The 13,359-nt window shown below is 39.7% G+C and overlaps 1 protein-coding gene across 6 annotated transcripts in view, besides 1 other annotated feature; it reads left to right on the forward strand.

The window, feature by feature from the left end:
• Positions 1 to 13,359, forward strand: part of MTA3 (metastasis associated 1 family member 3) — a 262,837-nt gene that overhangs the window by 152,609 nt on the left and 96,869 nt on the right. For all 6 annotated transcript variants that reach the window (NM_001282755.2, NM_001282756.2, NM_001330442.2 and 3 more), the window contains 2 exons: positions 9,482 to 9,584; positions 13,045 to 13,144. In NM_001282755.2, coding sequence (NP_001269684.1) covers positions 9,482 to 9,584; positions 13,045 to 13,144 — 203 coding nt within the window. The remainder of the gene's footprint in view (positions 1 to 9,481; positions 9,585 to 13,044; positions 13,145 to 13,359) is intronic.
• Positions 7,279 to 7,780: an enhancer, noted in NCBI's record as "NANOG hESC enhancer chr2:42881137-42881638 (GRCh37/hg19 assembly coordinates)". NCBI's record gives its function as "activates a minimal SCP1, AML or CMV promoter by ChIP-STARR-seq in naive H9 embryonic stem cells {active_cell/tissue: H9 hESC(naive)}" and the evidence as "EXISTENCE:reporter gene assay evidence [ECO:0000049][PMID:30033119]".

Genomic DNA, 13,359 nt, shown 5'->3' on the forward strand with positions numbered 1-13,359 from the left:
AAGAAAGTGGTTTCTTGAGATGGAATCTACTCCTGGTGAAGATGCTGTGAACACTGTTGAAATGGCAACGAAGGATTTGGAATATTATATAAACTTAGTTGGCAAAGCAGTGGCAGGGTTTGAGAGGGTTGTCTCTGTTTTTGAAAGAAGTCTACTGGCTGAGCACGGTGGCACACGCCTGTAATCCCAGCACTTTGGGAGGTCGAGGCAGGCGGATCACGAGGTCAGGCGATCGAGACCATCCTGGCTAACATGGTGAAACCTCGTCTCTACTAAAAATACAAAAAATTAGCCGGGCGTGGTGGCGGGCGCCTATAGTCCCAGCTACTCGGGAGGCTGAGGCAGGAGAATGGCGTGGAACCCAGGAGGCGGAGGTTGCAGTGAGCCGAGATCGCGCCACTGCACTCCAGCCTGGGTGACAGAGTGAGACTCTGTCTAAAAAAAAAAAACAAAAAAGAAAGGAAGTCTACCATAGGTAAAATGCTATTGAGCATCACATGCTACAGAGAAAAACTTTTTTTTAGAGACAGAGTCTCGCTCTGTTGCCCAGGCTGAAGTGCAGTGGCACAATCTTGGCTCACTGCAGCTTCCGCCTCCTGGGTTCAAACGATTCCTGTGCCTCGACCTCTCGAGTAGCTGGGATTACAGGCATGTGCCACCATGCCCAGCTAATTTTTTTTGTATTTTTATTAGAGATGGGGTTTTGCCATGTTGGCCAGGCTGGTCTTGAAGTCCTGACTTCAAGCGATCTGTCCACCTTGGCCTCCCAAAGTGCTGGGATTACAGGTGTGTGCCATCCCCCCACCCCACCTGCCTCCCACCCCGCCTCCCACTGCCAGCAGTCTTGGAATGTTTTAACCAGAAACAAGGAATGCCTTTCCTTTCTTCAAGGCTACTTCTGGGTATTTATTTTTACATTTTATAACTTGGTAGTTTTCTTTGTTAAGTATTCATCTCTAACAAAAACAACAGATTTATCGATTTTATTGAAAAATACTGTATTTTTCATCATAAATGTAGAAGCCATTTTGAACTCTTATTTCAGCCTGAAGCATTAAAGCATATGCAGAATGTTTCTTTTCACTTGTAATCAGGCAACTGAGTAGATGCAAGGTTTAAAGAACTCTTCTTTTTTTTGAAATGGAGTTTCGCTCTTGTTGCCCAGGCTGGAGTGCGGTGGCGTGATCTCGGCTCATTGCAACCTCCGCCTCCCAAGTTCAAGCAATTTTCTCCTGCATCAGCCTCCCAAGTGGCTGGGATTACAGGTGCCTGCCACCACACCCAGCTAACTTTTGTATTTTTAGCAGGGACAGGGTTTCGCCGTGTTGGCCAGGCTGGTCTTGAACTCCTGACCTCAGGTGATCCACCTGCCTTGGCCTCCCAAGGTGCTGGGATTACAGGCATGAGCCTCTGCACCCAGCCACCCTTCTTTTTTCTAATGACTATTTTTTTAGGGGGGAAGGAGTGGGGATACCAGTAGGTATACCAGTAATTAACCACACTTGAAAAACATGGTCATTGCCATCACAGAAACTCCCATATGTAGCTAGTACCTGATTGCAGGGAAGTTAAATAGTAGGACATATCATATTCAAGAACAGATGTTTAGGATTTGCTGGAATCCATTCTTCCTAACCCTTTTAGTACTCCTGAGTGGGTACATTTCCACCAGTGGCCAGATTCTAATTTGCATTGGCATGGAATGTAGAACTGGAATTAATATCTTGGGTAGGTGGCAGCAGCAGCACTCTGCCAGGATATGTTACAGGCTTGCTTTCTTTGTGAACATGTCTTGATGGATAGGATACTGAGAGATTGTTGCAGCATTTGTCTTGCTAGGGAATAAATCTTTTTGTGGCTTTTCGATTTTTAAATTCATTTATGGCTACCCATCACCTAACAAACTCTAGAGATCTGAAAAGAGTATGTAGTTTACAAATGAAAGTAAAGGCGTCTTTTAGATTTTACATCTTTCACTGAGTTTGAATAAACCACCTAGAAAATTTTCCATAAAAGAGAAGTTTTGAGTCATTGTTTAAATGTATTATTATAACATTGGAATTTTAAGAAAAATTTGTTCTACATATTAAATTTAAATTTTAACTGTTAAAGTATGTTATGAAAACCTTAAATTATTAAACGAAAATGACTCTAGGTTCACAAGTTTGGGTAATCCTGACTATACTATGTTTTAATTGAGTAACCTTGGGGAAATGATTAACCCCTCCAAGTTCCTGTTTCTTTCTCTTTAAACAGGGAATGATAGTGTATGTAATACATTATATCGTTGCGATGAGCAAATGAGGTAATTCTTGTCATGCAGTTAGCACAGCGCCCAGCTGTTACAGTCTTCTCCCCCTGGCCTCTAGTACCACTCATTTAATAGCTGTTATCGGCCGGGTGTGGTGGCTCACTCCTGTAATCCCAGCACTTTGGGAGGCTGAGGCCGGCAGATCATTTGAGGTCAGGAGTTCGAGACCAGTTTGACCAACCACGGTGAAACCCCATCTCTACTAAAAAATACAAAAATTAGCCGAGTGTGGTGGCGGGTGCCTGTAATCTCAGCTACTCGGGAGGCTGAGGCAGGAGAATTGCTTGAACCCAGGAGGCAGAGGTTGCAGTGAGCAGAGGTTGCAGTGAGCCAAGATCGTACCACTGCACTCCAGCATGGGTGACAGAGTGTGACTCCCTCTCCAAAAAAAAAAAAGCTGTTATCACCAGTCACACTCTTTGAGTGTTAAAGAATTAAAATAGTATATCTTTTGTTATATTGTATGCACTTAAAACTTGTATTAACTCATGTTCTGTTGGCAAATAGGAAAATGTTAGTATAGAGTGAAAATTGTGTCAGTTCATATGTGGCTTTCCCCAGCAATAAGGGAAACAAGTGTTCTCACAGATAAGGAGAGTTTAAGAAAGAGCAAGTGGAAATTTTTACAAAAGTGCCTTCCTTTGATTTAAGCAGTGGCTGATTTTGTGGTCTGAAAATCTGAGGCACTTTCCACTGTGTTACAACTTTATGGGAAGCTTTGAGTTACAGATGAAGAGACTCTGAAGATATTTCCTTCAGTGTTTGGGGGAAAAATTACATTCTGCATTCGATTTTTAATTTATTTGAAGCTGTAAAAAGGGACCTACAGCTCAGTGGAAGAAGCATGAGTCCAGGGTTTAAGGAGATAAAAGATCAGCGGACCTTTATGCTTGGCGCAAATGGCAATAGAGATTTAACTGTTTTATTATGATTGTTACTTTTTTTTGGAATGCTCTGGTTACCAACTCTCCTAGGTTTTGAGAGTTTTATCCTATTTTTTCATAAACTCTATTACCTTCAATTGGTAGTTTTGCAGAATATGAACTTCTTAACAATGTAGTGGATAGTCGTTAACTTAGAAACACTGACCCGTAAGAATTGTTTAAGCAGGTATTGATTGCCATCATATAAAATAGGAATTTTCAGCCATAGGGCAATTTTGTCCTCCAGGAGAATTAGACAATATGTAGACATTTTAGTTGTCACGTCTGGTAGAGGGGGTAGAGGTGGGAAGGGGCACCTAGTGGAGAGAGAGGCCAGGTATGAAAAATTTATAGGAACATAGTAACTTTTCAATAAATGTTAGCTAATATTTACATAATTATAATACTATGTACATTTTCAAATATAAATGATTATATGGTCTGGTCTATTTCTGTACATTTGATTGTGTTTGTTTGGGGTTTTTTTGTTTTTTTGGTTTTTTTTGAGACGGAGTCTTACTCTGTCACCCAGGCTGGAGTGCAGTGGCACGATCTCGGTTCACTGCAAGCTCCGCCTCCCGGGTTCACGCCATTTTCCTGCCTCAGCCTCCTGAGTAGCTGGGACTACAGGTGCCCACCACCAAGCCCGGCTAATTTTTTTGTATTTTTAGTAGAGACGGGGTTTCAAGGATGGTCTCAATCTCCTGACGTCGTGATCTGCCCGCCTCAGCCTCCCAAAGTGCTGGGATTACAGGCATGAGCCACCGCACCCTTGATTGTGTTTGTTTTTATGGTAGTACATACAACATTGTTTTGATTACTGTTGCCATATATTGTAATCTTATCCAGTTGAGTTAATCCTTTCCCTTATTTTAGAACTATTTAATTTGTAGATATTCAAAACATTTTATATCTACTTCCAGAACTAATTCTTTTGTGGCCATGCATCACCTAATGACAGCAATACATTCTGATAAATGTGTCCTTAGGTGATTTCATTGCTGTGCCAACATCATAGAGCGTAATTCCACAAACCTAGATAGGTGCAGCTTACTAAACACCCAGGCTATATGGTATAGTCTATTGCTCCCAGGCTACAAACCTGTACAGCATGTTACTATACTGAATACTGTAGGGAATTATAACACAATAGTAAGTATTGTGTATCTAAACATATCTAAGTATAGAAAAGGTATTGTAAAAATACAGTAAAAAGATAATAAGTGGTGCACCCACTGTGTAGGGCACTTACTGTGAATGGAGCTTGCAGCACTGGAAGTTGCTTTGGGTGAGTCAGTGAGTGAGTGGTACGTGGATGTGAAGGACTAGGACATTACTGTAGACTTTATAAACACTGTACACTTAGGCTATACTAATTTTATTTAAAAATTATCTTCAGTAATAAATTAGCTTGCTCAACTTTATTTATTTTTTTAACTTTTTGACTCTTCTATAAAAACACTTAAATATAAACACTGTGAGACTCAAAGAAGAGCCAGATGATGGAAGTTTTTAATACTGCCATCCTGAGGTTACCAAAAGAATAGGCAATTGGTGCTGGGCATGGTGGCTCATGCTTGTAATCCCAGTGCTTAGGAATTGGAAGGCTGAGGCTGGCGGATGACTTGAGGTCAGGAATTCGAGACCAGCCTGGCCAACATGGTGAAACTCCATCTCTACTAAAAATACAAAAAATTAGCTGGGCATGGTGGTGCGTGCCTGTAGGCCCAGCTATTTTGGGAGGCTGAGGCCGGAGAATCACATAAGCCCAGGAGATTGAAGCTGCAGTGAGCTGTGGTTGTCCGCCACTGTACTCCAGCCTGGGTGACAGAGCGAGACCTTGTCTCAAAAAAAAAAAAGAGGCTGGGCATGGTGGCTCACTCGTAATCCCAGCACTTTGGGAGGCCGAGTTGGGTGGATCGCCTGAGGTCAGGAGTTCAAGACTAGCCTGGCCAACATGGTGAAACCCCGTCTCAACTAAAAATACAAAAAAATTAGCTGGTCATGGTGGTGGGCACCTGTAATCCCAGCTACTTCGGGAGGCTGAGGCAGGAGAATGACTTGAACCCGGGAGGTGGAAGTTGCAGTGAGCCAAGATCACGGCATTGCACTCCAGGGTGGGCAACAAGAAAAAAAAGAAAAAAAAGAGTAGGGTGAAGGGAGTTAGTGACACAGGTTACAGGAGAGCAGGGTTAGCAAAGGTTGCATGGCTGCCTTGTTACGTGGATGAACCTTCGAGGTAATCTCCAAGCTGCCTTCAGAAAGGTGTAGCTTGGGATGAAGTGTCTATGTCAGATCTTTGGTCTCTTTTTCCTGTAAGTTAGTCTTTCTTAGATTCATTTAAAGGGGCCTCAGAGAAATCCTGTTTGCATTTGCGGTTTACTTCACTAACGTAGATTTCCTCTACATATGCAGATCTCCCCCCATCCCCCCACGTAAAAGACAGCCTTTCAGGGCTGGGTAATCTTGTTGTGTTTATTGATCTCAGAATAGCCATCTGGAAATATACCGAAGAAGTATATTTTGAGGTGAAATATTCTGGTTTTACCTCACTTCTTGATTTTTATTTTAGAAGTAGAGAGTGGGTCTCCCTGTGTTGACCAGGCTGCTCTTAAACTCCTGGCCTCAAATGATCCTCCTACCTTGGCTTCCCAAAGTGCTGGGGTTACAGATGTGAGCCACTGCACCCTGGCCTTGCTTTTTTATTTACTCAAATCATCTGATCTTCTTTTGAAAATTTTGAAATTTCTTTATATAAAATCTCCAATTTTATTTCCTAGTGTTTTATATTTTTATTGTCAAAATGAATGTGACTTTAAAAAATTATAGTAACTTGTTATTCTTTTGATTCATAACTTAATATGTTGGCCAGAACTTTCAGGACAATATTGAGCAAAAATGGTGATAAAAGACATCCTTGTGTGTTCCTGAATTACATATAATATAAAAAGTATAGTACTCTGATGACTGGTGCAAAGAAAACGTTATTGTATTTGGAACAAAGAATGTTTCAAATTGCCTAGGAAAGGGCCTTTAGGAATCCTTAGTTCTTCAGAGTATTTGAACAACACTGTGCTCAAAATTCTTAAGAAGTACTTTGTCAGTATTTTGTAGAGATTTAAAAATATAACTGGAGGGTTAGGGCTAACATTTAAAATAGTTGCTGGGTCTACATTTCTTCACAATTAAACGAAGCAAAAATAGGAAGCTGTATACAATCACACATTTAGTTGGGAAATACATTTGTAGGAATTTAGAGGTTAGGGGAGATCGTCATGGTCTGTGTTTTTTGATGATACGGCACTTGAGCAGATTGGAATTGCCCAGATTATCATACGTGGAGGAGGAAGGGGAGATTATTATAAAGACTGGAATGAACATTAACATGGAATTAATCTTTGTTCAGTTTTTGGCTCATTCCTTTGTTACCAGGGCCATTCCAAAGATTGCTGCTAGCGTAGCTGAAAAAAACTTAATTATAAAAATTCTAAATAAGTTAATTCAAGAGCTTTTTAAAAGTTTTTTCCATGTGAAGAAGTGATCAAACTGATATGAATGTAATTATTTGGTCTGTTCAAAATGGGAATCTCCTCTTAGTTTGAAATGATCGTTTGATATAGAGAATTTCTATATTTATTTTTTGTTCTTGCTATTTTTCTTCTCAGCCTATGGTTGTCTGTGTTTTTGGTGTTAGTTTAAATGCTTTCAAGAGTGTTTTATTATTGTTTACAGTGAATTTATTTAGAATTCTTCTAAGTCTTACTTCTGCTATATGCTGCAGACTGTATGGGTGGAATTAAAATTTGTCAATTTAACTGACTTGAATTTGAAAAATAAACATCAATTGTAGTCTTACGTTCAGGAGTATACAACAGAAGGGGCTTAAGACTGAATAGCAACATCATTTCTTGTGTGTTATTTAAAATGTAGATTTCAAATGTTTTACCACTACTATCTATCCTTATTTAAATTATTTTTAAAAAGACACAGGCAGGTTAATTGTGTCATTCTCCATTCTCAGGTTTCATGTGGCTTGCAACTGTTTGATTTTTAACTGGTCTTTAAAAATGAACCTAATGTTGAGTGTCTTGTCTTGGCATGCTAAGAATTGTAAACAAAACAAAGAATGAAGTCCTTTCAAACCTTAGATCTTTTTGGCCTAGTACTAGCTCTGCTCTACTCTGTTTATGTCATTTTATATTGGGGTTGGCAGTTGGCTCTCTGGTTACCTGCCTTTGAACCAGGGACAGAATGGGCAGGTCTTTAACCTAACAACAGTGGCCTGACTTAAGAGGCTGCAGATGGAATGCCTGCTTCTGTCCTCTCCTTTCCATTGATACCTGCTTGCTCCTATACTAGGCGGCCCATAGCCTGGGTTTGTCAGTCACTGGGGAATGGTTGGCTTCAGAGTATTATGTCAGCCGTTGCAAGCCTAATGTTACAGATGCAGTGATCAAAAGCAAAACAAAGCCAAAGCAGTCCCTATCATTAAAGAGCTTTTATTCTAGTAAGAATCTATAGCTATAAATCAAAATTCCATTGGCTCCCAACTTTTCATTACAATCATTTGTCCTAACATTGACTCTTGTTCAATAGTTATCCCTTTGTGAGACATTCTAAAGCAAAGCATTCAGCATTATTGTCAGTCTTCTCTTGGCCCTTACTTCCTGTTTGTGTATCTTTTTTGTTTTGTTTTGTGACACCCAGGCTGGAATGCCGTGGTATGATTATGGCTCACTACAGCTTCAACCTCCTGGGCTGAAGCAGCCTTTCCACCTCAGCTTCCTGAGTAGTTATAACTACAGGCATATGCCACAACACATGGCTAATTTTATTTATTTTTTGTAGAGTTGGAGTCTCACTGTGTTGCCCAGGTTGGTCTTGAACTTCTGGTCTCAAGTAATCCTCCTGCCCCAGCTTCCCAAAGTGCTGGGATTATAGGTGTGAGCCACCACACCCAGCCTCCTTCTTTCTACTAATGCCAACGCTGTGAGTACAGCTCACAAAACTTGAAATCTACACTCTACATCCAGTCTGTCACTGACATTCCCAAATCTCCTTTCTTTGTGTTCTATTACCAATCTCATAACCATGTTTCAGCCCCTCATTACTTGTGAAGGAACTCTTAAAGGAGGCTGCTATGTCTCTCTCTCTCCTTATCAGGTATCTCTGCAGAGGAAATTATAAACCATGACTAGCTTTGAAAGTTGAAGTTTAGTTCTGCTCTTGTCACTCCCTTACCAGAAAAATCAAGGGCTTCTCATTACCTCCAAATAAAGTCTCTTCGAAAAACATCTATGTAGGATCTTCAGTAATGTGTTCATAACCCACTTCTCTTAGCTATCTTCTCTCATTCCATAAAGTACTCCAGACATTATGAGCTACTTTTCTATGACATTTTAATGCCCCATGACTTTGTTCATGTTCTCATTTCTTTTTTAAAAAATCTTCCCCTGCTGGTGCATTCGTACCCTTTAGTTCTTAGCAGAAGTGCCATCTCCTTCATGATATTGTTTCTTACCTAGCTTGAAATGATTTCTCTACTCTTCAGATTCTTATGCTATAACTGTTAATATGTGTCTCTTATTCTATTTATTTGGTTTATATCATATGTATTTATGCATAGTTTAAACATCTTGTGGAAGTGATGCTTTCTTTCTTTTTTTCTGAGACAAAGTCTTACTCTGTCGCCCAGGTTGGAGTACAGTGGCGCAATCTCAGCTCACTGCAACCTCTACCTTCCGGGTTCAAGCGATTCTCGTGCCTCAACCTCCCGAGTAGCTGGGATTACAGGCGCCTGCTACCACACCCGGCTAATTTTTGTATTTTTAGTAGAGACAGGATTTCTCCATATTGACCAGGCTTGTTTCAAACTTCTGGCCTCAAGTGATCTGTCTGCCTCGGCCTCCCAAAGTGCCGAGATTACAGGTGCAGGCCACCGCACCCAGCCTGTTGCATTTTCATCTTTATGTCTCTTAGCATGGCACTTACTGCCTCTCACATACAGCTACTCCAGAAATAAACATTAAGGACTAAATGAAGATACCTTTCGGTTAGTTTGGTGTCATTATCATCAGTGTTCACTTTAACGAGGTGTTGTACATCTACGTCTGAAAGAATATGCCAAAACTGTGGGCACTTACCTTACACATAAACATTTCTAATGCTATGGTGACAGTTGTCATCAGTGGTATGAGACAGTATGCCTTGTCAGTAACAAGACTCCATTTTATTTATTTTTGGACAGGAGAATCAGATGAGAGGGAACAATCAAAATTGGAAGTTAAAGTTTGGGATCCAAATAGCCCACTTACGGATCGACAGATTGACCAGTTTTTAGTTGTAGCACGGTGAGTATGAGTATGGCATTATTGAGTCAATAAATTTCTTTATATAAAAGAATTTATAGGTATATGTATTTTTATTTCTTTGTATTCTGCTTTTCTCCCACTGATTGTATTATTTTTTTAGTTAGGTAAGAAAGCTTAATACGTTATGCTGCTTCCTAATTTTATTAATTTCTGTTTTAAATGAAAATAGTTGTATTAATTTTTACTGATTAAGAAAACAGAAAAGTATAAAGAAGAAATTCTTTATACCTGAAGAAAATACCTGAAGTCCCACATCCTTAATAAAAAGAGTCATCCTTTTTACTTGACATAGCTTTACTCTAGACATGGATTATTCAGGTATCAATAAGAATGTGCACCTGGAATTCGCTCACCGCATCCATGTGTGGGTAAGGCCTGTTGCTAAGCATAGCACTTTGCCTTGAGAGCTTTCAACCTGGCTACCTGGCTGGCTTCCTTCCTTCCTCCCCTTTTCTTAAGAGAATGAATGGGACAGAATTTTATTTTTATTTAAAAAATGATAACAGTAAAAGTACATCAGCAAGCAATTGATGAATGAACTGAGGTATACTCATATAGTGAAATATTATTTTATGGCAATTGAATGAATTAAAGCTATATGTAGCAAAGAGATAAACATCACAAATAGTGTTGAGGGTATATACCATGTGATCATTTATGTGTATACAGAGTAATTATAAAATGTTTGCTGTGTACAAAACTATTTTATTAGTGGATTTTTAAATACATTAAATGGGTATATATAGTATATATGATCTAGGAGTATATATAGGGAACTCTAACAAATTTATAATATTTATTTTTTAAAAGAATGAACCAAACATGGCAAAATATTACTATGAGTTAGATCTGGACAGTGGATGCAAGGGTCTTCATTATGTTATTGTCTGATTTTGTGTTGAACTTATTTCACAATGCAGAGGAAAAAATAGTCTTGGCTCATCCTTAGATATCACTGTTCATAGAGCCAGTCACCATGGACGATCCCACTTTTTATTGGTGGCCAGGCATTTGGAGTCCAGAGCCCATCACCTAACTACTAAGTGACTGGATGGAGACACTTGATGAGCATTGTAAAGGGGCCAATCTTGTGGCCCCTTGTTGAGTACAGAATATTGGTCTAGAGTCTCCAGACAGGCTGTCTAGATTGGGGATTGGTTAGGAGACATTGCCATTTTCAAATTAGATTTGTATTCTGTATTTTCATTTTTCTGATTGCCAAGGGCTGTATGTTTCCCCTCAAAGCCAGCATGAAGGACACCAAGGAGTTGGTTCCTAGTATGTTTTTGTTTTCAATATTTGTTTTAAAAAATAATCTTGTAGGCTGGGAATGGTGGCTTATGCATGTAACCCCAGCACTTTGGGAGGCCAAGGCAGGAGGATTGTTTGAGTCCAGGAGTTCAAGACAAACCTGGGCAATATAGTAAGACCTCATCTCTTAAAAAAAAAAAAAAAAAAAAGGGCCCGGCACAGTGGCTCACGCCGCCTGTAATCCCAGTGCTTTGGGAGGCCAAGGCAGGCAGATCACCTTAGGTCAGGAGGTCAAGACTAGCCTGGCCAACATGGTGAAACCCCGTCTCTACAAAAATACAAAAAAAATTAGCTGGGCATGATGGTGGGTGCCTGTAATCCCAGCTACTTGGGAGACTGAGGCGGGAAAATTGCTTGAACTTGCGAGACGGAGGTTGCAGTAAGCCGAGATCGCACCATTGCACTCCAGCCTGGGCGACAGAGGAAGACTCTGTCTCAAAAAAAAAAAAAAAAAAAAAAAAAAAAAGATCTTCTAAATGCAAATTAAGACCACAGTCAAATACCACTGCCAATCCACCAGAATGGTTAAAATTTTAAAGACTGACAGTGCTAAGCATTGATCAAGATTTAGAACCAATACTCTCATATCCTGCTGGTGAGTGTGTAAATTGGTACAGCTCCTTTGGAATACTGTTTGCTGTCATCTAACACAAGTATCTCTTAAGTTTCACTCCTAAATATCTATGCAGCAGAAATGCATATACCTTTGCACCAAAAGATACGTATACAAATGGATTTATGGCACTATTCATAGTAACCCCAAACTGGAAACACATGGAATGTCTGTCAGCAGTAGAGTGGAGGTGGGGATGAGACGTCGTACAACGGAATGTCGCGTAACAGGGAAAATGAGTGAATACAGCTGTAGCTAACAACATGGATGAACCCACAAACGTAATTTTAATCAAAAGAAGCTGGACGTAATATCCAGCTGTGTGATTCTATTTGAGCAAAACTAATCTGTGGTGCTATAATCCAGGGTGGTGGTTCCCTGTGGAAAGGAGCTTGAGGAGCCTCTGGGTTGTGGTCATGTTCTTTCTTGAACTGTATGTTGGTGGCATGCATGTGTTCACTTTACAGTAACTATCTGTTTACTGTGTACTTTTCAACATGTTTGTTGTATTTTAATTAAAATATTTATAAAATTTCTTCCTTAGGGGTCAACCACAATGGCTCATGCCTATAATCCCAAAACTTTGGGAGGCCGAGGCGGGAGGATCACTTGAGCCCAGGAGTTTCAGACCAGCCTGGGCAACATAGGGAGGCCTTGTCTACAGAAAATTTTTTTTAATTAGCCAAAAAAAAAAAAAAAAAATAGCTGGGCGTGGTGGTGCATGCCTATAGTTACAGCTACTTGGGAAGCTGAGGTGGGAAGATTGTTTGAGCCCAGGAAGTTGAGGCTGCAGTGAGCTATGATCATACTATTGCGCTCCAGCCTGGGTGACAGAGTGAGACCCTGTCTCAAAAAATAAAAATAATAAAAATAAAAAATCTCTTCCATAGCAAACATGTTTAAAATACAGGCAGGAAAAGCAGTGAGTCTTCATTTTATGCTGTATGTGTTAAGGTTAGGGTTTCTTACATATTGGAAGGACTTCCAAATCATTAAAATCAGCATTATGGTAATTTCTTTTTAAATGAGATTTTAGTAGAAATCTGTTTCATGTTGAATCCTCACAGGAAGGGGTTGCTACAGTTAATGATATATTGGGGGAAAAATGTAACTGAGTTTTACAATTTGGGCTTAAAAAGTAGTCAAAACTTGCTTTGCTGTAATAGTCAAACTCTGCAGCTGACTTTTTATTTTTTGAGCCAATTTGAATAAATGTTTTACTCCATGACATGTTATAACAGAGCTTCCCTTTCCTTCTTTTTTACCCCCTGCACAGGCTATTTTTTTTCTTGATTTCATGATAACGACCTGTTTATAGTAAATTGGCTTGTCAATTATTATATCTTATAGAGTGAAAATTCTTTTTATTTGATGTTTGATTCTCATTCAGAAACTTGTTTTTGCCTCTTCTTTTACAGTTTTTTATTTACTATCCAAATGTGTTTTTTAAAACGTTAAAAAAACAAACCAAAACAGATACTTAATTCTTCCTTATTGTGTTTGTGGTTTATTCAGTGCTGTTGGGACATTCGCCAGAGCCCTGGATTGCAGCAGTTCTGTGAGGCAGCCTAGTTTGCATATGAGTGCTGCTGCAGCTTCCCGAGACATCACCTTGGTAAGACATGGTTTGAAATTTTGTGGGTATTTATCCTTCTGTTACTTGTTTAATTTTAAAGCCATTGTGGCAATACTGTAGACCGGGAGCTTTTGGGCTCTTAGCCTTCCTGACTGCTAGGTTGATTTGGCTTGGTTACTTGGTTGACTGGGTTATGATAACACTCGTCTGTGAGTTGAGAGTTTTTTGTGTCTGTTCATTAGAAAGAGGGGCTG

The sequence above is a fragment of the Homo sapiens genome, chromosome 2, assembly GCF_000001405.40.
Source record: "Homo sapiens chromosome 2, GRCh38.p14 Primary Assembly".
Taxonomy (NCBI): Eukaryota; Metazoa; Chordata; class Mammalia; order Primates; family Hominidae; genus Homo; species Homo sapiens.